At 53.9% G+C, this 26,244-nt stretch overlaps 1 protein-coding gene across 2 annotated transcripts in view, besides 4 other annotated features; it reads left to right on the forward strand.

The window, feature by feature from the left end:
- The window catches only part of DAB2IP (DAB2 interacting protein), a 218,457-nt gene that overhangs the window by 60,426 nt on the left and 131,787 nt on the right, over positions 1–26,244 (forward strand). The window contains exon 1 of one of the 2 annotated variants that reach the window (NM_001395010.1): positions 24,135–24,400. The exons of the other annotated variant lie outside the window; for it this stretch is intronic. Within the exon in view, the coding sequence (NP_001381939.1) occupies positions 24,277–24,400 (124 nt within the window). The 5' untranslated portion in view covers positions 24,135–24,276. Of the gene's footprint in view, positions 1–24,134; positions 24,401–26,244 lie in introns of those variants that run through there. 2 annotated transcript variants of the gene reach the window in all.
- Positions 4,019–4,767: an enhancer, noted in NCBI's record as "H3K4me1 hESC enhancer chr9:124393797-124394545 (GRCh37/hg19 assembly coordinates)". NCBI's record gives its function as "activates a minimal SCP1, AML or CMV promoter by ChIP-STARR-seq in naive H9 embryonic stem cells {active_cell/tissue: H9 hESC(naive)}" and the evidence as "EXISTENCE:reporter gene assay evidence [ECO:0000049][PMID:30033119]".
- Positions 6,869–7,531: an enhancer, noted in NCBI's record as "H3K4me1 hESC enhancer chr9:124396647-124397309 (GRCh37/hg19 assembly coordinates)". NCBI's record gives its function as "activates a minimal SCP1, AML or CMV promoter by ChIP-STARR-seq in primed H9 embryonic stem cells {active_cell/tissue: H9 hESC(primed)}" and the evidence as "EXISTENCE:reporter gene assay evidence [ECO:0000049][PMID:30033119]".
- Positions 7,658–7,727: an enhancer, noted in NCBI's record as "active region_28924". NCBI's record gives its function as "activates an Ori minimal core promoter by ATAC-STARR-seq in GM12878 lymphoblastoid cells {active_cell/tissue: GM12878}" and the evidence as "EXISTENCE:reporter gene assay evidence [ECO:0000049][PMID:35858748]".
- Positions 21,877–22,712: an enhancer, noted in NCBI's record as "H3K4me1 hESC enhancer chr9:124411655-124412490 (GRCh37/hg19 assembly coordinates)". NCBI's record gives its function as "activates a minimal SCP1, AML or CMV promoter by ChIP-STARR-seq in naive H9 embryonic stem cells {active_cell/tissue: H9 hESC(naive)}" and the evidence as "EXISTENCE:reporter gene assay evidence [ECO:0000049][PMID:30033119]".

The following is a 26,244-nucleotide window of genomic DNA, read 5'->3' on the forward strand; positions in this document are numbered from 1 at the left end:
AAAATGGACGTTTATGGATTTTTAACTTTTGATCCATGTTGCCTACTCACTCTCTGCAAAGACTGTGGCTGTGTACTCTCCTGGCAGCAGGATGTGAGAGTCGGTGGGTCATGATCTTCCTGTGTATGAAGAGCGGGGCTGGGCTAGGGCTGGGGCAGAGTTGGGGTGGGCCCCTGGCAGCAGAGTCTAGCCAATGCGTGGGAGGCATTTGGAGGGCATTTTTCTCAGTGCTGCCTTGCACTTTCATGCACATGTATATATCCATAGAATAATATGATTCTGTTTAAATTTCTTTTTTAAAGTCATGTATCGTTCTGCAACTTGCTTCTTTCGTTCAGTAAGATATTTGGACACATTTTTCTAGTTCAGCTGTAGAATTCCACCTCACTGTTTCTATCTGCTGCGTAGAACTTTCTGCAGTGTGAGATTGACTTAGCCACCCCTCCGTGGGGGTTCTGCTTCAGGGAACATCCTTTGTGGGTCTCGTCAGGCTTGGGTGCCAGCATCCCTCTGTCTGCAGGAAGCACATTTATTAGGAAAGTGGTCATTGCTAAGAACGACACTGCTGTTATTCCTGCCATGCACCTGGAGCAGAGGTTGTGGTTCTTGCCTTGGCCTTGGGCTTGGGCCTGGCACTTCTCTGAGTTTTCTCAAGCTCCATGTGGGTGCAGTGAATCTGCTGACTTTGTTCCTGGAGCTGAGTGGAGATGCTGGCTCAGGGCTTCTCCTAGCTCAGAGAGTGGCTGTGATGTGATTCCTAGCCCCCCTTAGTCATCCTAGCAGACTGGATTAGGTGGGCCCCCCCCATCCTAGTGATCCTGAGGCAGATGCCCCCCTGCCCAGGTGTGAACAGACTCTGCCTCTGGGTGGAAGATTGGCACAAGCCATGGGATCACCCATTTATCTTCTAGCGAGATCTTCCTCCAGGTTTAAAAGAGACCCTGTAGGGCACCTGGTCCTGGCTATGGGTGTGGTGGTTGGAGGTGATAAGGAAAGAACTTAGGGGCTGCTGGTGGCCACTGCTGACAGCTTCTGCTAAGGGTGGGAGGCACTGGAAGACTTTTGAATCTGCAGAGTGTGGGCAATCAGGGAAGGCTTCCCGGAAGAGGTGGGACTGGGCCCAGTGGGAGTTTTAGAATGAAGAGGCAGTGTCTCTGGGCTCCAAGGCATCCCCTCGGCAGGGGCAGGGGAGGGAAAGCGGGGCATGCAGAGGGCCTGGCAAACCTTCTTTAGAGAGGCTCTTTGGCTACCTGTGGTTGCAGGATGACCACTTGATGTCCAGAAAGCTACTAAAGGGGAGATTTGGAACTGGACAGACTGGGCTCAAACCCTGACTCTGTTGTTACCAGCTGTGCCAGTCACTTACCCTCTCTGAGCCTCAGTTACCTGGTCTGTAAAATGTGATGATAACAGTTCCTTCTTCACAGGGCAAGTGGGACGGTGGCTTGAGCTCCTGTTTGGAGAACTGTTGGCACCGACCTGCAAAAGGTGACAGGTGTGGTCACACCTGAAGGTAACCCAATCACTTGCGCCTGGAGTGATGGCTAGAGTTGGCCATGGTGTCTGGGTGAGGCCAGAGACACTTGCCTAGTAGAACCCCCCAGACTCAGTGATGGACCCAAGGTGCTGGTGAAGGCGACAGAAATGATGCGATAGATTCCCTTTCGCTCTTGGGTCCCACCCCAGGGGCCCACCTCGGGGCCCTACCTGCAAAAAGCAGTCCCTCAGGGACATTGGACAGGTGAAGAGGCTTTGAGGGCATGACCCAAGTTGGAAGGCGCCCTGGAGTACCTGGGGAGAAGGAAAGCCTGGCCGGCTGATGGCAGAGGGTGGTGGGGGTGACAGCCAAGCTTCAGGCTTGGTGCTTCTCTCAGAAAATGCCACCATAGATGATGTCCCCAAGCAGCATTGGGTGTGTCCTCATGGCGCCCTTTCTTCCTGGGTAATTAATGGTGCTCTCATCCCCCTGAGAGGGTGGTGGTGGGTATGGCGGGCTGGCCGGGCAGGCGCCGGGCAGACAGTCAGAGCCCACTCCAGTCCTCCTCATCCATTTATTACCTGTCAGCTTTGCTCTTTCTGAACATAAAATAAGTGCCTGGGAGGCGGCCAGGGCCCCTGAAGCCCCGAGCTGGGCTGTCTGGGGCACTCTGGCTCCAGGGAGTCATTCCCTGGAGGCTTCTGCTAAGCTCACCCCACTGAGGGGCTTCAGATAAGCTGGGACAACCAGGCTGTGGGCACAGGCTGGGTTCCTCTGTGATGTGACTGAGGCAGGTGGGTGGAGATGCAGGACTGGAGAAGGTCAGGGCCTCGGCAGCCAGCTAGAGGCCAGAATTTGGGTTCTGAGACAAATCCTCCTCTTTTCCCTCAAACCCCCGCCTCTCAGCCAGGGCTTCTTAACCAGGGCTTCCGGGACCCAGTGAGTCTCAGGATGGACTCCAGAGTGTCCAAGAACTGGAATAGGAAAAAAAGAATCCCACTGTTATTTTCAAGAACCATTAATTAGAATTACAAATGGTAATTCCTGCAATTATAAATGTAGATGATCAACCACAGTGGCATTAGCCATTCTATGATGTTGCAGAAATCATAGGAATTGCAGAAATTCTCATGTCCTATTATTGTGGACCTGATAATAGGACATGAGATACCCAGTTGTCATGGGTATCCTAAAATAACATTTTTGTTCACCGTACTTCAAAATTACAATAGTTATTAGCCCCAGATCTTGTTCTCTAAGGCATTAATAAAGAAGCACATATATTGCTATAGCATTAAAAATATTTCGGGAGGTGGAGGCAGGCAGATCACAAGGTCAGGAGTTTGAGACCAGCATGGCCAACATGGTGAAACCCTGTCTCTACTAAAAACACAAAAAATTAGCCAGGCATGGTGGCAGGTGCCTGTAAGCCCAGCTACTTGGGAGGCTGAGGCAGGAGAATTGCTTGAGCCTGGGAGGTAGAGGTTGTAGTGAGCCAAGACTGTGCCACTGCACTCCAGCCTGGTCAACAGAGCAAGACTCCATCTCATAAAAAAATTTTTTTTTTTTTTGATAACCAGGCATGCGCCACCACACCCGGCTAATTTTTGTATTTTTATTTATTAATTTTTAATTTTTATATATATTTTTGAATGGAGTCTTGCTCTGTTGCCCAGGCTGGAGTGCAGTGATGCAATCTTGGCTCACTGCAACCTCCGCCTCCCGGGTTCAAGCAATTCTCCTGCCTCAGCCTCCCGAGTCGCTGGGATTACAGGTGTGCACCACTACACCCAGCTAATTTTGGTATTTTTAGTAGAGACAGGGTTTCACCATGTTGGCCAGGCTGGTCTCGAACTCCTGACATTGGGCAATCCACTCGGCTTGGCCTCCCAAAGTGCTGGGATTACAGGCATGAGCCACCATGCCCGGCCTGTTTTATGTATTTAAAAACATTTTTCTGAGAGGGGGTCCTTAGACCTTACTAGAGCCCAAAGGGCCCATGGCATCTAAGAAAGGTAAAGGGCTCCTGCTGAGGCCCAGGGAGGGGCCCTCACAGGCTGGGGGCTACCCCATGCTGACAGGGATGAGGTGTCTGACTGTCAAATGGACTGAAGTCTGCACTGGGCAAGGCTGCTCTTTGTACCCATCTCTGTGCTGGCCTTTGGGGGACAGCAGCTCCTGGTGAGAGAGGACCTTGCCTCAAGGAGCTCCTGGCCTGGTTGCGGGAGGGGGCAAGGCACACAGACAGCTGAACAGCTCCCTGCACTGTCAGGAGTTCAGAGGAGGAGAGAGAAGTCACTTCCACCACTGGGACCTGATTGACCATCCTGGGAAGGCTTCATGGAGGAGGTGGCATTGGATTTGGGCCTTGAAAATTTTGACGTAAGAGACAGGGGAAAGCAGGTCAGGCTGAGAGGGACCAGACTAAGCAAAGAAATGGAGTCCAGAAGGCTGGGGCATGAGTGGTGCCCAGGGAGGAGCAGGGTTCAACTGGAGGGTACGGGAGAGAGCAGAGGGAGGTGGGAATGGAAGTCCTGAATGCAAGGCAAAGAAGCTTGCGGCCCGACGCGGTGGCTCACACCTGTAATCCCAGAACTCTGGGAGGCCGAGGCTGGCGGATAACAAGGTCAAGAGATCGAGACCATCCTGGCCCAAATGGTGAAACCCCGTCTCTACTAAAAATACAACAATTAGCTGGGCGTGGTGGCATGTGCCTGTAGCCCCAGCTACTTGGGAGGCTGAGACAGGAGAATCGCTTGAACCCGGGAGGTGGAGGTTGCAGTGAGCTGAGATTGTGCCACTGCACTCCAGCCTGGCTACAGGGCAAGACTCCGTCTAAAAAAAAAAAAAAAAAAAAAAAAAAGAAGCTTGCACTCTGCTGTTGGCCCAGGGAACCGTGGCAGGGCTTTCAGCAGGGAGCAGGGCAGGTTTGGGTTTGAGGACAGACCCCCTGGTTGGTGTGTGGAGAGACGATGGGAGAGGATGGGCGGGAGGCTGGGTGGCCATCGTTGACACCTTGCAGTCATCTGATGGGGAATGTGGAGAGCTGAACTGAGCCCAGGGTCCTCGTGGGGAGAGACAGGGGCCGTCCCAGCCATGGAATGAGGTGGAAGGTCAGGAGGCTCAGACCTCTGGGGCTGGGACTGACCGCCTGGGTTTGAATTGTGGCCTCTGCGGGTTACTAGCTGCGTGGCCTCGGGCGTGTTTGTTACGCTTGCGAATTAATTTGCTCATCTAAGACGCACGGTGATAGCAGCACCTGTCTCGCAGAGTTGCTGTGGGCGTAAAATGTGACAAGGGATTTAAAGCTCAGCACAGTTCCTGGCACAGAGTAAGCTCTGGACACGCCATAGCTCTGGTTGTTTATTACCGGTGATAAAACAGATGGGTCCTGGTGACCCAGTGGACTGGAGGAGATGCAGGGACAAACGCGGCCAAGTCTGAAGTTTCAGATCAGGACCAAAGCCCGGGTCTCTGCAGCTGGTATCTGAGCACAGACCAGGTCTCCAGGTGCTCTCTTCCCTGCTGACCCTAAGGGCTGGGGCCAGGACACCCCCTCCCCTGCCCTCACCTCCTCTGCCCAGCTTTCCCTTAGCAAGGCCTCCTCTGGCCCCTCCAGCATAGACTCCCACCCCCCAGGAAGGGTCAAACACAAACTCCATCTCATTCCAACACCTGGTGCCGTCTAACCCCGTTCTTTTCCTCCAGGAGTTCCCAGGGTCGGGAAGGTGCAGTGAATGAGACAGGCCTCAGAGAGTGACACTGGGAGCTCCACTTGGGTTTCTAAGTCTCAGAGCAGGAAGTGTCTAGACCAGCGTCCCACTGTGAGTGAGCGCTGGAGCCTCCCTGAAGAGGAATGCGGTGGGCAAGGTGGTGTGACAAAGGTGGGGTCTTTGAACGTGGGATTTTGCAGGAGCAGCTTCACCTCTGGGCCTGCTCACACTGGGGCTGATACTTGGGGTCCTGGAATTCCATATGCACTTTCCCCTAGACCCTTTCGGGGGGCTCCCCAACCCTGCTCAGCTTCCCTCTCTCCCAGACTGAGGGGTTCCAGCTGCTCCGGGCAGTGGGAGCCCACTGATGCCGGAGAATAAATTTGCTGTTTTGTAGAGCATGTGGATGCATATTTGGGGGGCTTAATCTTCTTAATAAATTGTTCTCAAATTGTGCACTATTAAACTCCTGAAAAATTCATGAGCACGCTGGGAATAGAGACCTCATCGGGAAGGTTTGACATGAACAATACAATAAACGCAGCTTCTAAATTGGGTCAGGGAAGCCTTCGAGGCCCAGAGAGAGGACATTCCCGCTTGACCCTCCCCAGGCCTATAAATTAATCATGTGCACAAAGAGGGCCTTGTTCTCTCTTGTCAGAGCCAGGGGTTGTGTCTTTGCCCACTGACCCCACCCCCCCTACCAAACCACCTCTGCTGCAAACAGAGTGCCTGGTGAGGCCGTTCAGCGTCTGTGCTTTGTTATTCCTGTGTCTCCAAAGCAAGGTGGGTGTACGTTTCAGCAAGAGAGATGTAGGTTAGATAGGAGGAAGAACTTCCTGGCTGACTGTGGGGTGGTGTGAAATCCTGGAATGGGCTGCTCTGGGAACTCGAGGAGACTCTTTTCATTAGGCTTTTAAGACCTGGCAGGCTCTATCCCCCTTGGTGCTCTCAGACCATTGCCCAGAGACAGCAGTGACCAGGACAGACATTGCCCCAGGGTTTGGCCACAGGAGCTGGCCTGGATGTGCCTCATTCTGGACCGTTGTGGGAGATTTAAGGCTCAGCTAAGGGGACATCAGGACAGCATCCTCCAGGCCCAAACCCTCACCATAGTCTAAGTACATGGCATTTGGATAAGGGAAGTCAAGTTAGGTCTCTGCCATGGGTCTGGGGCTGCTGCTCTCTTCCTCAACACCCTCAGCCTCTTGGAGTCCTATTCAAAGGCTTGGCCCAGATGCCACCTCCTCTGTGAAGCCTTTCTTGATTTCTCCCTGCCCTGTCAGTCAAAATTAGTTACTTCCTCCCTTGTGGTCCCTCTGCCTTGGGCCCTTGTTCGAGACTCTCTGTGGAAGCCTATGTGTCCCACCAGACTGTCAGCTCTCTGAGGACAGGGACTGTGTCAGAGCCCTCTCAGGACACAAAGGGACACAGTTCTTGAAGGGTCCTCCAGAGACCATGCCATGACTTGCATTGGTTTTCACATGCCAACTCCTAGGAAGGGTCCCCTATGCACCCCGGGGTAGGAGCTGAATGGCCTGGCTTCCCAATGACAACATGGGAATCCTGTGCTTTTAAGACAGGAGTAGGGCCAGAAAGAGGAGAGATGGAGGAGGCAGAGGCCCCGGCCGGCCACACTTGACCCCGCCTTTACTCTCTTAGTTCTGACATTTCACAAGCCTTTGTTTTTTTCTGAATCTGCTCAAAGTCCTTCAACCCTGCAGGTCTTTGGAGGAGGGTGAAATGGCCACCCTTAGTGTACACAGGAGCCCCACCCTGAGCCACTGTGGCCCCAGGTGTCCCCTTGTGCCTAGAAAGCAGCCTCACTCCAGCACAAGCCTGGGCAGGTGCAGCCTCGGTGCGCAGTTTGGAAGGGGTGACGCGCAGGTCTGAGAATGGGTGGGCAGTGGGGGTGGAGTTCACTGTCAGCGCCAAAGAGGAAGTGGGGAGGCCCTCGTGGGAGTGTGGAAGAGGAGCACCTTTCTCTGGGGAGAGCACTTCCGGGAGATGTAACTGGGTAGCCTACCCAGACCCCTGGCCCTGGTGGTCTAGCCTCTAAAGGAAGCAGATGATAGCAATAGGAGAAGGCAGTGGACAGCCCCATTGGTCCTGCCCCCACCCCAGCCACCACCTGTGGCTAGGCTGGGAGGAAGCTGCTCTTCCACTCCCACCCTCACCCCGTGGGCTCGGCTGCTCCCTGCTGACTTGCACCTCAGAGGCACCCCCAGCCCCCTCAGCCAGAACAGCCAACACCAGGCAGGTTTGATGCCTGATACCATGGGGCCCTGTGTGCCAGTGCGGCCCACCCAGCCTCAGACCTGTGTATATGTGTGTGTGTGTGCGCGTGCGTGTGTATGTGTGTGTGCATGTGCGTGTATGTCTATGTGCGAAGGGGAAGCTTGGCAGAGGGTGGCTATGGAGTGGAGGGGGCTGGAGAGGCCAGGCCTCCGTGTGGCCGGTCAATGCCTCAGGAGGTCAGCAGGTGGAGAAAGAGAGCCGTGTGTGGGGTCAAGGAGACCCTGGGGCTGTTCATTGGACAGCACTAATTCAATGCCTAAAAATAACCTCGGACCTGGTAGGGCACTTCAGAAATTTCCAGGCTCTTTCAGACCCCCCACAAACTCATTTCAGTCTCCAACATCTTGTGAGGAAGTTAATTCCATCCTTATTTTACCACCAGGAGCACCAAGTTCTAGAGTAAATCTGTGAAGGGCTCACAGTTAGTTGGTGGTAGAGCTGAAACTGGAACTCTGGTCTCTCTGGCCATAGGTTCAGGGCCACCTCCTGTGGACCTACTGTGTGCTTAGCCCCGTGCAGGGCCTGGGCATGGAAACGGAGTGAAGGAGGCACTGGCTTTGCTGCCAACATGGCCTGTCTGCAGGGAAGAAGGCCACCTGAGAGAGAGGTTAGGAAGCACCAGGGCAACCACAGGAAGGAGGGGCGCTGAGATGGGAGCGAGGCCTTGGACAAGAAAGGATATCCAGAGCTAGAGAGGGTGGGGCTTGAGGGTGGAGGCCATTCAAACACAAAGCACTCTGGGTGAAGACAAGACAGTGGGGAGCGGGTTTTGGCCCAGCCCCACGCAGAGCCTTAAAGACGCAGCCATGGGCATCCCCTGCAGGGCCTGGCAGGCAGTCTGCCCAGGAGAGTCACATTTGTGGGACCCTGCTGCAGAGGACCTTCCCAAGGGACAGTCCCCTGTTTAGATGTCTTTTTTGGGGGGGGGTCTGGGGGATGGAGTCTTGCTCTGTCTCCCCAGGCTGGAGTGCAGTGGCACGATCTCGGCTCACTGCAACCTCTGCCTCCCAGGTTCAAGTGATTCTCGTGTCTCAGCCTCTTGAGTAGCTGGGACTACAGGTACATGCCACCATGCCCAGCTAATTTTTTGTATTTTTTTTTAGTAGAGATGGGTTTTGCCATGTTGCCCAGGCTGGTTTCGAGTTCCTGAGCTCAGGCAAACCACCTGCCTCGGCCTCCCAAAGTGCTAGGATTACAGGCGTGAGCCACGGTGCCCAGCCTCAGATGTCTTTTGGGGGTGGAACCAGGGCTGCACTGCAGAGGTCACCCCCCTACCCCTGGCCCTGTCACTCTCCATCCTCTTCCTCCTGGCCAGACCTCCTGCTCTGGCCTGCTTTTATTCTCCTTTTAGCATAAGATGGCAAAGTGACTGAGAAGAAGGAAACAATCAAAGGAAGAGAAGTGGTTGCCACGGAAACTATAAAGTGGAAGCAGAAACTTTCAGGAGCAGGAGGGAGGAGGGAAGCAGACCTGGTGGCTGGGTGGGAGGAGAGGCGGGAGGCCTGGCCTGGGCTAGCCTGGAGTGCCCCTACGCCCAGTTCTCGCTGCTCTCCCCAGCTGAGCAACGCTGGGATCTGTGCTCTCGGGAGCAGGAGGGCCGTCTGGTTTCTCCCAAGTCTGGGCAGGAGGTGGCTGGTACGAGAGTGAGGTAAGCAGCTTGGCCTGTGGGTGCATGGGGCTGAGGAGGAGCCCTGTCTTCTGCCCAGATCCCCACATTGTTCTGAACCGCCAGTCCCATGTCAGCCTGGAGGAGTCTTTGCATGTCTTTACACCACGTCTTGATTCCTCCGTTCTAACAAGCCAAAATGACACGGTGCAGGACTGGGCAGTTTACCAGGCAGCTTCCTGAGTGCAGTCTCATTCAAGTCTTGTGACAGTTCTGGGAGGATAGTATTCAGATTCTACAGAGTGGGGAGTTTGGGCCCAGAGAGGTTAGGGAACTTGCCCTAGGTCACAGAGCTGAGAACCCCCAGGGGTAGGATTTATCCCCTGGACTGTCAGATCCTAAAGCCTTGAGCTCTCTTTTCCTTCTGGACACTTTGTTTTGTAATGCAGGGCTCTGCATGAAGCCATGAGTTCTCTGTAGCCTCCAGCCCCTTCTCATCCTTCATTCCAGTAAGACTTTCCCCCAGGGAGCTGCTATTTGCTTCCTGGAGGAGCCTAGGGAAATTTAGTGTCTCTGAGGCTTGATTTCCCCATCTGCAAAATGGGCATAATAGCACCTTTTCCCTCTGAAGGCTTTTGTGAGGATGCAATGAGACAATTCAAGTCAAGCACTGGGTGCAGTGCCTGGCACAGAGGATACCCTTGAACTCTCTGCTGGCTGAGCCTAGCAAGCACCCGTGGAGTGGGCAGGGCTGGGGCAACCTCCCTATATTTCAGAGAAGCCACTTCGTCCGTGAAACGGTTCCGATGGGTTCCTGCCTTGCTCGGGGAATTGGAAAGGTAGATTGAGATCATGGCTGTGGAGCCTTGAAACCACTGAGTCTGGTGGGGGAAGAAGCAGGGTCTCCCCTGCTGTAAAACTGGCCACTAGAGCTCCAGTGGACATTGAGACGTCTCAGCCAATGGTCTCTCTGTTGGAGGAAGGGAGGGGAGAGGGATTGGGACCCTGCCCAGTTAGCCCCTGAGTAGGAGGCTCAGACCTGCTGAAGGTTTGGGTCTGAAATGACCCCTTGGAATTCCGCGTTGCCTGCCCCCGAATTGCAGCCAAGCTTTAGATTTCTCCCGGGAGAGGCCCAGCCAGTCAAATGTATTATTAAATGGCAGAGAGGCCGAGCGCTGCATGTGAAAGATAATGGGGGAATTTATATGATGGGCTATAAATCACAGAATGAGAAGCCCTGCAACCTGTGGGGAGGAAAATTAAGAAGTCCTGAGCAGTGACTTGTTTGGGGTGGGGGCGGAAGGCATTTGGCCCTGTTTTGCTGTGAGCCTGGCAGGTTCATGATGCACGAGGCCCAGGGGTCCGAGGGGCTCTGATGTGCACACTTCCTATGTACTCAATGGTGACACCCCCCTCCCCCCATTGGCAGCTGCTGTGTGACAATGCCAAGCTGGGCACTGGGTTATGACCTCAGGGAGAGCAGTGTGCCAGGAGAGACAGATGTGAGATGAATCATCAAAAAATATGCAGTCGGCCCTCCGAATCTATGGGTTCTGCATCTGTGGATTCAACCAACCAAGGATTGAAGATAGAAAAAAATTGCATCTGTACTGAACATGTACAGACTTTTTCTTGTCATCATTACCTAAACAATACAACTATCTCCATAGCATTTACATTGTATTAGCTATAAGTATTCTAGAGATGATTTAAAGTATACAGGAGGGTATGCATATGCTATATTTTAATGTCAGGGACTTGAGCGTGCTTGGATTTTGGTATCTGATTGGATTTTGGTATCCTGGATCCAATACCCCTGGGATACCGAGAGACGCCTGTATGGCACTGCACAAAGCAGTGGGCTCCCTGGAGGAAAGGCGCAGGGAGCTCAGAGAGAGTGTTGCAGGAGGGCTGTGGAGGAGGCGGTGAATTGAGAGAGGGGAGTGGTGGTTTTTCTGGAAAGGAAGAGTGAATGCGAGTCAGCCAGGTGGCTCAAGAGAGCTGTGGCAGGGAAGGTGAGCCAGAAAGAGTGGCCAAAGGCCAGCAGGGCCAGGGCAGCTAGGGCAGGGGCTGTGTTTCAGATTTCACTCTGGCTGTTTTATGGAGAACCACACTGAGGAGGCAGCGGAGGATTTGGGGGGACAGTTCGGGGGGATGGAGGTCCCCAAAGGTAGAGATGGCGATGCCCTGGTTCTGGGAGATGTCAATGAAGGTGATGAGGTGGACAGCCTCAAGCTGGAATTTGGAGCTCTGAAGAGCCCATTTCACAGAGCAGGCTCCAAGTCTACAAAGCCAGCCCCATGTCCTGTATCCTAGGAGGTGGGAATCATGGGAGCAAAGACACAAAGGAAAGAAGCAGTGAAGGGCTGGGGGCCAGGGTGGTTGGGGAAGGGATAGGAGTAGGGTGTGGTAAGAGGGAAGATAGGAGTAGGGCTGGGGCCATATCCACTGACCACTATCCTAGGCTAGGACTAGAGTCAAGGCTGTGTGGGATTGAATCCTGTCTCTGCCACTAATCAACTCTTGTGCCTGTAAAATGGGAGAGTAACAGGATTCACTGCTTTTGGTCATTAGAAGGACTTGCTGAATTGACACTGCCTGACAAAGGGGAAGCACTGAATTGGGATTAAGTATGCACTGAGTGGCCTTGGGCAACTCTGCCCTCTCTGAGCTTTGCTTTCTTCTAGCAGGTCTCTGCAAACCCTCTAGGCCAAAGTCCTCTAATCTCCCTGTGCTAGCAGTGTGCAGCTCCCGAGGGTGGTCAGAGCACAGCGGCAAGCTGGCTGTATTGCCTCAGATGGGACCGTGTCCCTCTCTGCCCTGTAAGGGGATACCATGCCTATCAGAGCTGTAAGGGGATATTTTAATCAGCCCAGGACCTGCTGAGGTCAGAGGGCATAGGGACCAGAACAAAGAATGCCAGTCACGGCTGCTGCCTGGCCCTAGATGACCTGCTGGGCCCCAGAATCCAGACCACATGGGGAGCCTGCGGAGGGAGGTGGAAGCTGGGGGCCTCACTGTGGGTCAGGCACTGTTCAAACTGGGTGTTCTCCATTTTGGGCCTCAGTTTGCCCATCTGTACCATGAGGTTTATAACCCCTCCCTGCCTGCAGCACATGGGGTGCTGAAAAAAAGGAACAGGCTGCAGTTTGGACAAAGCAGATTCAGGTCTTTATTGGGGGCTGTGGTCTCAAAGCCTGAGAGAGAGCAACAGGTGGGCGAGTGAGGCTCAGTGCGGCCCACGGATGACCTGCTTTGGAATCACCTGTGGGACCACTGCCCGCTGATGAAAAATGCAGACTCCTGGGCTGTTCCCCAGACTGGCTAACTTAGACTCTGCCCGGTGGGCCCAAGTGTCTGCACTTTAACCCACATCCCAGGGGACTGGAATGTCTCGAAGTCCAAGATCTGAAGTTCTGGGCATCCCCTTCCTTGCATCAGGGGAACAGGGGCCCAGAGGGCATGGGGTCGGCTGGCCCAAGTTGCTTAGGAGACTGGAATCCTATGCCATGCCACTCAGGGGTCCTTCCTGTGCATCGCCCCAGGAGCCCTGGGAGTCCTGGGTGATGCCTGGGGCAAGGGGTACTTTATCCTAGGGCTCCATAGCCCAGCAGGGGGCAGCGCAGATCAGCACCTGCTGAGGGCTCCCCGCTGCTGTGTGGGCCTGGGCTGGGTAGTGCGGATCTAGAAAGAGCTCACTGTTCCGGAGAGGTAGGTGTGGGCCTGGGTGGGAAGACGGGCCTGTGTGTGCATGGGAGCCTGTGTCAGGGGGGCGACAATGAGAGAGAGAGCACCAGGAGGACACAAGAAATGCGACATCAGAGAAAGCAGGCCCAGAACATTGTGAAACTTCCTTACAGCTTCCCGGGACAGAGGCTGCAGGGGAAGAGGAGAGGGCATCTGTTGCCCAAGCTGCCTCCCTAGGACTGTCAGTGGGATTGGGGTGACTTCAGGCCTCCCCACCTCCCCCCACACCATGTCCTCTGGGCTTTTAAATGAGGATCAATCAGAGGTCAGCCCCTCCCCAAGTTCAGCATCAGAGTCAGGAGGGACTAGGGGCTGGGCTACAGGCTAAACTCCAGCCCCAACTCTCCAACTGGCCCTTCCTTACTTTGCCTGCTACAGCTTCCTCTGCTGCTGGGAACCTGTGGGCAGGCCTACGGCGTGGGGTGGGGCCAGTCCTGAGCCTCTGGACCTCTGACTTGAGAGTGGGCTGACCACTAGATCTCTTGAGGCCTTCTGCAGTTCCCAGTTGTGGGAAGGCAGCTTCACTTTCATACTTTCTCAGGGCAATGGGGGGCTGGTTTGGTAGTGAGCTCCCTGTCACCAAAGGTATGCTAGACAAGACTAGGTGAATTTTTCTTCCTCTTAAGCCTTTGGTGACAGGCTAAAGGGTGGGTCCTGGGCCATCCCCTCTTTATACCCCATCTGTCTGTTAATCATTAATTGCCAAGAGAGCTCCTCCTGGGATGGGGTGACTCCTTGGCTATGGGGGATGCTGATATCCAGGATGACCTTGAACTTGTTTTTCTTGGCCCCAAACTTTCTGCTACTTCCTGTTTGAGCAGGTGCAGAAATTATAGGGGCCCAACCCTTCCTTGTTTTCCTGGTAGAATTTCCAGACAAAATGCTCTTCCCAGGATGGGGGCAGAGCTGGGATTGTTCTCACTCCCAAGGGGATTTGAGGAATGAGGATGGCAGAAGCTCCATTTAATTCCCACCTACCTGGTCTTAGGATGCTAGCTATGGGCTAGGTGGGATCCTCAGGAAAGGCCAGTAAATGTGAGAACCGTGGCTCTGGCAGTGCTTGCCTCTCCTCTAACACCAGCTATGGCTCCCATTTATGTTCCAGATTGGACACAGAGGCTCTGAGTGTCAATACCCAATGGCCTTGAACACCCACCCAGGCCAACCCCATTTTGTAGGAGGGGAGGCTGGGGCTGTGAGCCAGAGGAGCCTTGTTCAAAGGCACACAGCAAAGTGAAGGCATTTATTCATCCATTCATTCATTCACCGAGTGCAATCTCTGTGCCAGTTCCTTCACGGTCAGGATTTGCACCCTGGCCTGCTGACCATCCTCAGCTGCCACTCAAAAATAAACTTTCCAGCCTGCCATCCATGTGTCACACCAGGCCTCAAGAGGTAGGTCACTTGTTCCTGGTCCCACAGCCAGCCTGCCTGCCTGCCTGCCTGCCTGCCTGCCTACCTTCCTTCTTTCCTTCTTCCTTCCTCTTTCTTTCTTTTCTTTCTTTCTTTTTCTTTCTTTCTTTTCTTTCTTTCTTTCTGTCCATTTCTTTCCCTTTCTTTCTTTCTTTCTTTCTTTCTTTCTTTCTTTCTTTCTTTCTCTCTTTCTTTCCTTTCTTTCTTTCTCTCTCTCTCTTTCTTTCTTTCTTTCTTTCCTTTCTCTCTCTCTCTCTCTCTCTCTCTCTCTCTCTCTCTTTCTTTCTTTCTTTCTTTCTTTCTTTCTTTCTTTCTTTCTTTCTTTCTTTCTCACTTTCTTTTTTTTTGACAGGGTCTTCCTCTGTTGCCCAGGCTGGAGTAGAGTGACACGATCATAGCTCACTGTAGCCTCAACCTCCCTGGCTCAAGCAATCCTCTCACCTCATCCTCCCAAGTAGCTGGGACTACAGGCACACACCACCATGCCTGGCTAATTATTATTATTGAGACTGAGTCTCACTCTGTCGCCCAGGCTGGAGTGCAGTCGTGCAATCTCAGCTCACTGCAACCTCTGCCTCCCGGGCTCAAGCAATTCTCGTGTGTCGGCTTCCAGATGGGATTTCACCATTGCTGGCCAGGCTGGTCTCAAACTCCTGATCTCAGGTGATCCACCCACCTCAGCCTCCCAAAGTGCTGCAATTACAGGCGTGAGCCACCACACCTGGCTTTTTTTTCTTTTTTTTTTTTTTTTTGTAGAGACAGGGTCTCACTGTGTTGCCAGGGCTGGTCTCAAACTCCTGGGCTCAAGTGATCTTCCTCTCTTGGCCTTCCAAAGTGCTGGAACCACAGCTTCTTTTCTATTAAAAAAAAAAAAAAAAAAAAGAACAGGGGCTTTGAGCCCAGCTCCCTTCATGCACCTCGTTCATCACACATTTATTGAGTGCTATTCTATGCACTGGGCATATGGCTGTGAACTGGACTCACAAGGTTCCTGTCCTCATTAAAGTCTGGGGAAACAAATTAATGAACATCTGAATACACAGATTAGATAGTTTCAGGAAGCGCTATGTGGAAGAAAATAAAACAGGGCAATGGGATATCATGGAGAGATTGGGGCAAAGGCACTTGAGATAAGGGGTCCAGGGAAGGTCTCTGAGGGTGTGATATTTGAGCTGAGGCCTGAATGACAGGAAGGAGCTGTCCATCTGAAGATCTGGGGTTTGTGGGAATGAGGCAGCAGGAACTGGAGATGCAAACGCCCTGAGGTGGGACCACGTTTGGCACATTCAGAGATTGAAAAGTTATCAAGCTGAGTCCAGAACTATCTTAGCCAGTGGCTCCTCAAGAAAGCCACTAGAAAGCTCTTTTAAGAATATAGATTCCTTGGCCCTACCCATCAAAATCTGGATTCAGGGATGCTGGGAGTGGGGCCCTGGAATCTGTTTCTGAATGCTCCCAATGTAGTTAATGGCATCCAGTCCAGCCCCACACCTGTAAGCCTGCCATATGGAGCCATCCCCTTCTTTCATTTTTTGCAGAGGGAGGATCAGAGAGGCACCGTGACTTATTCAAGGTTGCACAGCCACACAGTGACAAATCTAAGCCTCAAGCCCAGATCTCCCACCAGAGTTCTGCCCTTACCACTTCTCTTCTTCCCCTCTGGAGAAGCTGCCTGGGCCTCACCCCAACTTGGTTCTATCTCCCTGTCTATTCTCCCTGATCTCACCCCTCACATAGCCTGCTCCCCAGTCCTCACTGTATCCTCTGCTCCAGCCTCACCATCCTACCCACTGTCTCCAGTACATGCTTTGTTCATTTCCACCTCTGGGGCTTTTCTCATGCTGTCTCTCCCTCCAAGAATATACTTTTCTGCTCGCTATGCAGTCAACTCCTACTCAGCCGTCTAGCTCCATGCCAGTGTCTCCTCCTCCAGGCAGTCTTCCAGGACTTCTCTCTTCTCCAAATTCTCTCAGTGCTGACTCCAGGTCAGATAGGCTCAGCCACTTTTTTCGAATGTTGCCATCATCTCTCCCACTGTTGCTAAGAGCCTGCTCTGGGCTGGGAGCTGTACTGATCAGCTCTGGACTGTCCTCTCAACCAATCCACAAATTAGTGAGAAAAGAAATAGCCAAGGCTAGGCATGGTGGCTCAAACCTATAATCCCAGTGCTTTGGGACAATAAGGTGGGAGAATCACTTAAGGCCAGGAGTTCGAGACCAGTCTGAGCATCATGGCAAGACTGTGTCTCTACCAAAAAGTTAAAAAATTAGCCAGGCATGGTGGCACACACGCCTGTAGTCCTAGCTGCTCGGGAGGCTGAGGCAGGAGGGTCACATGAGCCCAGGCATTCGAGGTCGCAGTGAGCTATAATCCCACCACTGCATTTCAGCCTGGGCAACAGAGCGAGACCTTGTCTAAAAAAGAAGAAGAAGAGGAGGAGGAAGAAGAGGAAGAAGAGGAAGAGGAAGGGGAAGGGGAAGAGGAAGGAAACAAGGAAGGAAGGAGAAAGGAGGGAAGGAAGGAAAGAGAAAGAAGGAAAGAAAGAAAAGAAAGGAAAGAAAGGCTGGGCGCAGTGGCTCATGCCTGTAATCCCAGCACTTGGGGAGGCTGAGGCAGGTGGATCACCTGAGGTCAGGCGTTCGAGACCAGCCTGGCCAACATGGCGAAACCCCGTCTCTACTAAAAATACAAAAATTAGCCAGGCGTGGTGACACACGCCTGTAATCCCAGTTACTCAAGAGGCTGAGGCAGGAGAATTGTTTGAACCTGGGAGGCGGAGGTTGCAGTGAGCTGAGATCGAGCCATTGCACTTCAGCCTGGGCTTGCTGAGACTCCATCTCAAAAAAAAATAAAAAATAAAAAAAGAGAGAGAGAGAAAGAGAGAAAAGAAAAGAAAAAGAAAAGAGCCAGGAGGGGAAGCTGCTTGTCAGTTTATACGCAAGGCTTTGATCCACTATGTTATTTGACTCTTCCACAACCTCACAAAATATTCATATACCCCTTTATACCTTAGGAAATGGAGGCACAGAGAGGTGAGGCAGTGATCTGGGGTCACACAGTGAAGAGGGGAAGGCTCATCACTCCAAATCCCCCACCTGAATGGGGGCTTCCTAGGAGCTGACTACAGGGCCCGTTCAGCTGTCCTCCTCTGTGGTCTCTGCAGGAGTTGAGCAAGGCCCTCCCCTGGAACCCAGGCCAGTGCCAGCCATGAAATGGTTCACAGATGACCAGGCAGGCCTGCTTGAGAAGGGAGGGGGCTCCCTGACCTCACACTGGGACCATATGCCACCCCCTCTGGTTTCCCAGTGGGTGCGGAGCTGTCTGGGCCCTTACTGAAGGGGGAGGAAGAAGCCCAGAGACCTGGAACCTCAGCCCCAGGCCTGGGCCAGGGAGAAAGGAGGGGCTGTGGGCGTCACTGGGGCCCAGGGCCCACCTGGAGCTTGGCAGCGTTTCTGGGTCAGGGCAGGGAGAGGAAGTACACAGAGAGAGTGGCTCCAGGCTTGGCCATCTGGGCTGAAATGCCGGCTGCTAGGGTTGGGGTGAGGAAGGAGGGCTGGGGCTGGGGCCTGGAGAGTGGATTAGTCTCCCCTGGGCCACAGGATTGGAGCCCTCAACTTCAGGGCAGCCAGTATGGAGGGGAAGCCCAGGGCTCCTGTGGGCAGAAGGCAGCAGGCATTCTGGGAGAGGTGGTCCAGGCTCTCGACGGAGAGAGGTGGTCTTGGCGGCTGTATTTGGGTTCCAAGGTGGAACCCACCCTAATCCCCAGCCCCATGTGACCTTGGGTGAGTCGCTCCCTCCCTTGGTCTCACTTCCCCATCTTCAGGAAGGGATGCTGCCCCACCCTGACTGCTCTGTGCTGGGATGAGAGAGCCAACCAGACCCTCAGTGATTGCAGAGTTGATGCCAGATCCCAGTTTGCCATGGGTTAGGGAGGGTCCTCTGGGTAAGCAGCTGATTTTGAGGGCCTCAGCTTCCCCCGTTCATCAGTTTCTCTCAAGGTTCCTTCTACCTCGGACATTCCGGGGCTTTATGACAGGCTGTCGACGTGTACGAGGGAGACGTGCATGTCCTCTTCTCTGGGCTTCTGGAGGACTGGAGGGGACCTGTAGGTGGCCCTTTGGGGAATGGGGAGATTTTTAGATCCTGATGGAATCTCTGGGAGGTGAGCTGAACAGAGCTGTCTCATCTCCATTTAACACGTGGAAACCTGAGACCCAGAGGTATCACACGGTGACCCCCTCTTAGAGTTCCGGCCTGTCCCGAGGGCTCTGCCCTCGGCCCAGCCCTGGGTGACTTGATTGGAAAAACACTCACACTCCCCGAGGCTCTGTCTCTGTGTGTTCAAATGTCCACGCTTGACTGGTCCCCCACTTCCGCCTGTGTTGAGAGGGGCAGAGCCATCCAAGCCTGGGGTCATCTTGTCCCTGACTGCACCGTTTTCTGCAAACGATGTCATTAAATATATCGGTGGCTTTTGGGAGGAAGTCTGGGGGGCGGTGGCAGTGGTGGTCGCCTGGCTAGCCTGGAGTGCTTTAGTGTGACCTCTTGGGGCTTGTCTATGCTTTTCCCTGAATGGGGTGACCTGGCCCCAGCCTCCCCCATCTTCCTAGTGAAGATCCTGCTCCTGGTCCAGCCTTATTCCCGGATGAACAGTGGATGCAGGAAGTCGTCATTGCCTGCCAGACAGGCCACCTCCTGGGGCAGAGGCCATGACCTTAACCACAAGTGTCCCGCCACCCCCCCCACCCCGACCCTCTGTCCCCCCCACCCCCACCCCTGCCCAGAGCTCCAGAGACTGAAAGGTTGAGACTGTCCTGGGAGGCGGATGTGTGCAGGCCTGCCTGGCTGGGGACTTCCCCGGTCACCACCACCCACCCTCATCCCAACAGGAAACCTGACAGGTCTGAGCCTTCCAGACACCCATTGTGTGGGGCCTAGTGTGGGCTCCGATGCTTCCCCTGTCAGGACTCCTGTCGCCCCTAGCCTCCTCCTGTCCCTTGACAAAGCTGGCTATTAAAGAAAGTTCTAGACTGTTTCCACTCCCCCGTCTCTGCATTCCGTACTGCTCAACCTTATGATCGTTGCTCCTTTCAGCCCCCTGGGTTCAAATCCTGCCTCCTAGTGCAAGCCCTGTGACTTTAGGGAACTCACCTACCCTCTCTCTGCCTCTTGACATTTCTTCTGGAAAAAGAAATAACCATCTGCCTCCTAGGATTATTCTGAAATTAAATGAGATGATGTGGGTAGAATGCTGAGAACAGGATCTGGGACAGTGCATGCTAGATGCAGTTCAGCTACCATGATTAGGATTAAACCCAAACTCCACCCTCAAACAAACCTCTTGAGGTCAAACTTGTAACCCTCCTCTGTTAAGAAGCCTTGGGTTTCTGTGGTGCCCCACGCATGAGCATCTCCCCTTCCCTGGGGGAGGCTGGTGTTTGAAGATAACTGGTTGTGGTTGCTGTTATCATCCCCCCTGTACAGAATGGCCCATCAATGAAGGCTGTGCTCTTCTGTTTTGTGCTTAGCTGCAGAAATGGGTGATCTGTCTTAAGATTGGAGGAAACACTATGCTTTATGGGCAATTTAAGGCTTTTCAAAGGTAATTTTGGCAATATGCTTTTTTTTCTCTCTTTTCTCACTGACTTCAACCCTGACACCGCAGAGGGACTCAAGACTGCCTTGGGCTAGCCTCCCTCCCCTGCATCTGGTGCCCCTGCTGACCCACCCTGGCCTGGCCCATGATGTACCTGGACTTTCAGCCCAGCTCTGATGCTACCCACTGCTTCTTTTCCAGCAGGGATGCTGATGGTTTTCTGCCTAGAGGGGAATTTTTTGGGTCCATCCCTCCCTGGTCTTCACAAGTAGCCTCCTGTGTCCCCATTATTCAAACTGACTAGTGGGGTATACCAGGAGCCAGGAGGGGGGTGTCTCTCCTTGGAGTCAGAGTAGACTTTTTTAAGGAGGGGGTGCTTCAATTTGCAATTGCAAAAATGTATATATACACACACATATATATACATAAACACACATATATACGTATATATACCCATATATACACATATATATACATACATATACATATATATTATATATATACATACATATACGTATTATATATATATACGGGTATATATGTATATATATGATGGAATACTACTCCGCCATACAAAGGAATGAATTAATGGCATTCCCAGAAACCTGGATGGGAATTGGAGAATATTATTCTAAGTGAAGTAACTCAGGAAAGGAAAACCAAACATCATATATTCTCACTCATAAGTGGGAGCTAAGCTATGAGGATGCAAAGGCAGAAAAATGACACAATGGACTTTGGGGACTCAGGGAACGGGTGGAAAGGGGGTGAAGGATAAAAGACTACAAATTGGGTTTAGTGTATCCCAAGTTACTGCTCGGGATATGGGTGCACCAAAATCTCACAAATCACCACTGAAGAACTTACTCATGTAACCAAATGCCAACTGTTCCCCAAAAACCTATGGAAATAAAAAATTTAAAAAATAAAAAACTGAGGGGATGCTTGAGCTGGGTCCTGAAGGGTAAGCAGGAATGCACCAGGTGGGTGCAGAGGGAAGACCTTGGTGGCAGCGGTCCAGGTCCCACCAACAGGGCGAAGACTGGTGGTGGGAAAGAGTGTCTGGAGGATGACCAAGGGGGCTGAAATGGGTTGGGGTGCAAGCGGGAGGTGGTCGCTTTTTGACACAGCTTGGTCTCTGAGAGTTCGCCTTGGGAGGCTTTTGAGGGGAGGGTAAAGGTGCTGGTGGTGGGGTTAGGTCAGATCTGATTTAGCCAGTCCTAGTACCCACACCCCTACTTACTAAACTTGCATGTTTCCAGGCCCCATCCAGACCCACTGAATTGAGCGTCTTGAGGGAAACTCAGAAATATGCCTGTTCACTGAGTGAAGGTGATTTGGGGGCTGCAGCCCTGTCCCCGCTAAAGCAGCACATGGGAGAGGTGGGAGCTGGGCCTATTCAGGAGCCCCTCTGGAGGTGGGAGAATAAGACCAGACCTTTAGCCCTGTAGGTACTGAGGCTCTCATGTTGGCAGGGCTGGAAAGTCCGATCTGTTGGTCTGTCACAGGAAGCAGTGGTAGCAATGGTGGTGGTGGGCACTGGAAGCAGGGCTTCTCCTGTTCAGAGAGAGAAAGCCACAGGGGCGCCGGCGGGAGGTGGGAGCAGATGGGGGGCCAGTTTCCCAGCAGGATTGATTCCAGGTCCCCTGCTGGGCTGTACAGGGAGCGGCCTTTAACTGCCCTGTTCCTGGGCCAGGAAGAAGGAAAAGGAGCCTGGGCTCTTTCTCTCCTAGCTCCTGCCCTGCCCCCTTCCCACTCAGTACCCGGAGAGTACCTGCCCCAGGCCCGTGGAGATGCTCGGCTCAGCTGGTTGGCGATGCCCATTCCCATCCCAAGGGTAGAAATGCACAAGCTTCCTCCATTTCACTAGCTGACCCTCCTTCCTCCACAAGGCAGATGGATTGGGGGTCCATACGTTCTCCCTATAGGTAGGGAAACTAAGGCACAGAGAAGGACTTGAAAAGCTGAAGTGGGGAGACCATGCCAGACCTTTGGAGCCCAGCTGTGCTTACAGATGAGGTCCTGAGTTCCAAGTTACTGCCCCCTCTCCCCTCCACACACACTCCTCAGACTTCCTGTTGGGGGCCCAGGCTAAGACCACTTGCCCACACCACTGATAACAGTGAGTTGATTGTGAGCCTCCCGTCCCCTCCAGGGAGGGCTGGAACCTGGCTGATCAGAGGGTTCCTGCTTTGGGAAACAAAATGGGCCAGATGAACTCAGGCCCTGGGAGCAGGACCGTTGCCCCCGTCCTGAGTAGGACTTCCTGGGAGTCCCTCACCCCCAGAACCCGTGGACCTGGCTACGGAGGTTAGTCATGCCTGGAAGTGCCAAGATGTGGACAGGTGGTGCTCAGAACCCCACCTACGTGAGGAGGCACTGAACTGGGTTCTGGCAGTTTGGCCAGAGGAGGATGCATGCTAACAAGGCCCCCAGCTTGCCTGGGGACTGAGTGACTGTGTGTGCGCTCTGTCCAGGGGCTTCTTTTTAGAGACGTTCCTGCACCATGTCTGCTGTTGAAAGGAGATAGGGCAATGCCTCCAAGCTTGTCTGACCTGCAGCCTACCGGCTGCATGTGGCCCAGGATGGCTTTGAATGCTGCCCAACACAAATTCATAAACTTTCTTAAAGCATGATGAGGTTTTTTTGTGTGTGTGGTTTTTTTGTTTGTTTGTTTGTTTTAGCTCATCAGCTATGGTTAGTGTGAGTATATTTTATGTGTGGCCTGACAATTCTTCTTCTTCCAGTGTGGCCCAGGGAAGCCAAAAGATTGGGCACCCCTGGCCTAACCCAAAGGAGGCTAAGGGTGTCCTCTTGGGCACCCTGGTTTTCCATCTTCCTGTGGGATTGGCCAGTATTCAGGGAAGAGGGGACCAGGGCAGCTGATAGCTCTGGACTCCTCAGACTGAGTTTGCTGGAGTAACACCCCTCCTGCCCCTCCCCCCTGGTCAGGGAAGGCGCCTGGCTTCCAGCTGTGAGACAGGCTCCGCAGGACTAGGGACCCTCCCCGCTGGCTGAGAGCGCTAGGGAGGGGGCTTCCCCTGTGAGGTGCAAAACCCGGCCTGGATTTCTGCCCAGACGGCCCCGCCCACTCCAGGGCCCCACCTTCCCCACTGTTCTGGAGGAAGATCCCCTAGCCGGCCTCAGGCACTTGCGGTGACTCACACCCCCCACCCCTAAGTCTGAATGTTGAGAGCCCCAGGCTAAGACCACTTGCCTCTGCCACTTTCCATGTGACTGAGGCAAGACCTCCTTGCCAAGGCCTCAGTTTCCCCCTCTGTACTTCAAAGGAGGCAGCTCAGGCAGGTGTCTTAATAATTTAAACGACGAATATTGCTAAAGAGATAAGGGGCGGGGAGAGAGAGAGATCACTGTGGGCCATGGTTAGGGAAGGGTGGAGGAGCTGGGTCCTGAAAGGGTGGACTTTGGTCGGGTGGAGAAAATAGCCAAGAAGGCAGTCCCTGCTGGCAGCACAGCAAAGAGAAGTGAGAATTAGGGGGAGCAGAGGTGAGGCTGGAGGGGACTTTGGTTGGGGCAAGATTATTTGGGGTCCAAATAACAAGGATGTTTAGACGTATTGCCATTGTGCTCTGGGGAGCCACGGAAAGCTCTTGAGCTGAGGAGTGACTTGGAGAAAGTTTTTCAGCCAATGCAATAGAGGGAGTTGGTACCTTTCCTTCTGCCACCCTGAGTTTCTGGTGCCTACGGTAGGGTAGGGATTGTTCTGCCCTGCCTTCAGTGCTTTGAGTGCTTGAAACAGACACCGTAATTTTAATTACATAAAAATGATACGTGTATCAGACGGGACAACCTTTAAAACGTAAAGAAGAGGCAAGTATCCTGCATCACAGGGGAGTCTTTCAACCTGGCTGGGCCAGGGCCTGCGGAGCAGTGAGGGTCGTTTCTCAGCCCAGCGAGCCTGGGGCAGGAACGGACCCTAATTGAAGGTGACCGTCCCCAAGCATGCGTCCTACCCCGGGCTCCGGAGAGCGCACAAGCAGGTGTGCACCGTCTACCCGCGCTGGCGGGATTGGGTGCCTGGTGCGCCCTCAGGTCGACGGTCGAACCCTCGGGGGCGGGGGTGGGAGCCAGAACCCTCGGGACGACCCGTCTGGGGTCCCGGGGAAACTCCGGGCCGCCTCGCCCCGCCGATTCCAGGCCGGGATTTCTCCCGCACTGACTTTCCGGGCCGGTGCCAGCCCGGCCTCCGGGTCCCCAGCCCCCGCCGCGGGGCCGGCTGCTCGGGGAGCGGGAGGGGGCAGGAGGCGGAGGAGGAGTTTGAGCGACTTTGTGGGGCAGCCAGGGCCTCGGCGGCCGCTCGGGCGAGCGCGGGAGAACGCGTGGGCGCCCGCCGGGCTGTCCGGAGCGGCCGATGGGGCCCGTGTGAGCGCGCCCAGGCCCGGCCCGGTGCCCGGCGGGCGGCAGCATGTCCGCGGGCGGCAGCGCCAGGAAGAGCACCGGGAGGTCCTCCTACTACTACCGGCTGCTGAGGCGGCCCCGGCTGCAGCGACAGAGGAGCCGCTCCCGCAGCCGGACCCGGCCTGCCAGGGGTAGGCGCCACCCCGACCCCTGACCCCTAGACCCTCCTAAGGCCACTAAGCCACCTGATGCCCTGGGATGCTAGGGACCGGGATCCTCCTTCCAGCCATTTGCCGGGGGTTTCCTCATCCGCCCCTTCCTGAGTCTGCCGGACCCCCCATTCCCCCAGCTTCTGCTTAGTCCTCCTCTCGCCGGGGGAAGCCGAGGCTCTAGGGTCTCCTCTTAAGCCAGGGACAGGGAGAGGGGAGCCTGGAATCTTTCTCCGCATCTCAGATCAGACCTCCTACCCCACTGTGCCTCAGTTTACTCAGCAGCCGGGCAATAAAGTAACCCAGGGTGGATCTGAGCTTTCCCACACCTTGCCTTCCCAGCCCAGGCCGCGGACTTCTTTCTTCCCTTTCCAGGAACTTAACGGGCTCCCCACCTCTTGGGTGCTAGGACAAGTGGGTGGACCTCAGGGAAGGAACCGTGACCCCTCGAGCGGGTGGGCGCCAGCTCCTTTGCAAAGTTTCTCTCCATCAAGCTCAGGAGGCAGGACGAGACGGAGGGGGAGGTGCGAGCAGCATTTTCTTTTTCCAGTAACAGGATCCTCGGCTGGAAATGCGTGTGATCCCGGGGGCTGCGTTTGGGCGGGTGGTGGCCGGGACTTCCTTCCCTGGCTGAGTAGGAGGGAGGGAAGCCCCTGGGAGGAGGAGGCCTTCAAAGGGGCTCTGGGGAGGCTGGAGTCCTAGGCAGAGGTTCAGGCCCACCGAGGGTGCCCGTGGGGTGGAAGGGAGGAGAAAGACGGCGCCTTAGCAGGGACCTGGGCCGAGTTGACACCATCAGGTTATCTTGAAAGTGGGAAGCCGGGCCCTGTGCCAACAAATGCCATGCAGGGAATCTGGTAGACCAAGAGGGGCCACATTCCCACCCTGCAGGCTGCCGTTGTGTGACCTGGGCTGAGCTGCCTCTGAACTTCAGTTTTCTTGTCGGTGTGAGGGTAAATGAAGCAGGCAGGTAGTGTTCGGTTGCTTCCACCAGAATGGGGAAGACTTTTCCCACAGTCAGGTCTGAGTAGCACTGTGCAGTCCAGGGCTTCCTCAGGAAGTAGTGAGTTCCCTGTGCACAGAAGGGTTCAAGCTGAGGCTAAGTGTGTGCACAGGTGTGTGCTGGTAGTTCAGTCCTCAAGGGTCTCTCAAAGCCTGCAATCCCCCCACTCCTGCCTTTCCTGAAGTCTTAGTAAGTACAGAATTAACAGTACTAAGTTACTTAGTAAGTACAGAATTAACAGTACTAAGCCTTTAGTACTCCTTGGAGGGAGTACTAAGCCTTTAGTACTCCTTGGAGGGAGTACTAAGCCTTTAGTACTCCTTGGAGGGAGTACTAAGCCTTTAGTACTCCTTGGAGGGAGTACTAAAGACCTGGGGAAGGCTTTATCTCAGTGGTTCAGGTTTTGGTTCTTCTATCTCTGTCCTTCTATTTAATTCTGTACTTGCTAAGACCTGGAGAAAGGCTTAGTACTGTTAATTCTGTACTTACTCCCTTCCCCTGGACTTGGTCTGGGAGACCGGGAATCTGGGCTCAAGCTTTGTGACTTTGGGCAAGTCATTTCCCCTTTCTGAGCTTAGTTTTCCTGGTTGTAAAATGGACCTGCCGTATGTGGAGGATTCAGTGAAGAAACTGAGAAATGGGAGCTTTGAAAATGCCCAGTACTGTTCAGACCACCCTGGGGCCTCTCCTTCTGCACCCACCTCACGTCACCTCACCCACCCGCCCCTCCTTTGCCTCAGAAATGCCCTGTGTGACCTTTTCCTCTTCTCACCTCAGCCCAGTTCCATCCCTGACTGTAATGGGAGTCTCGCTCCTGTTCAGCTGA

The sequence above is a fragment of the Homo sapiens genome, chromosome 9 (genome assembly GCF_000001405.40).
Source record: "Homo sapiens chromosome 9, GRCh38.p14 Primary Assembly".
In the NCBI taxonomy this organism is placed as follows: Eukaryota; Metazoa; Chordata; class Mammalia; order Primates; family Hominidae; genus Homo; species Homo sapiens.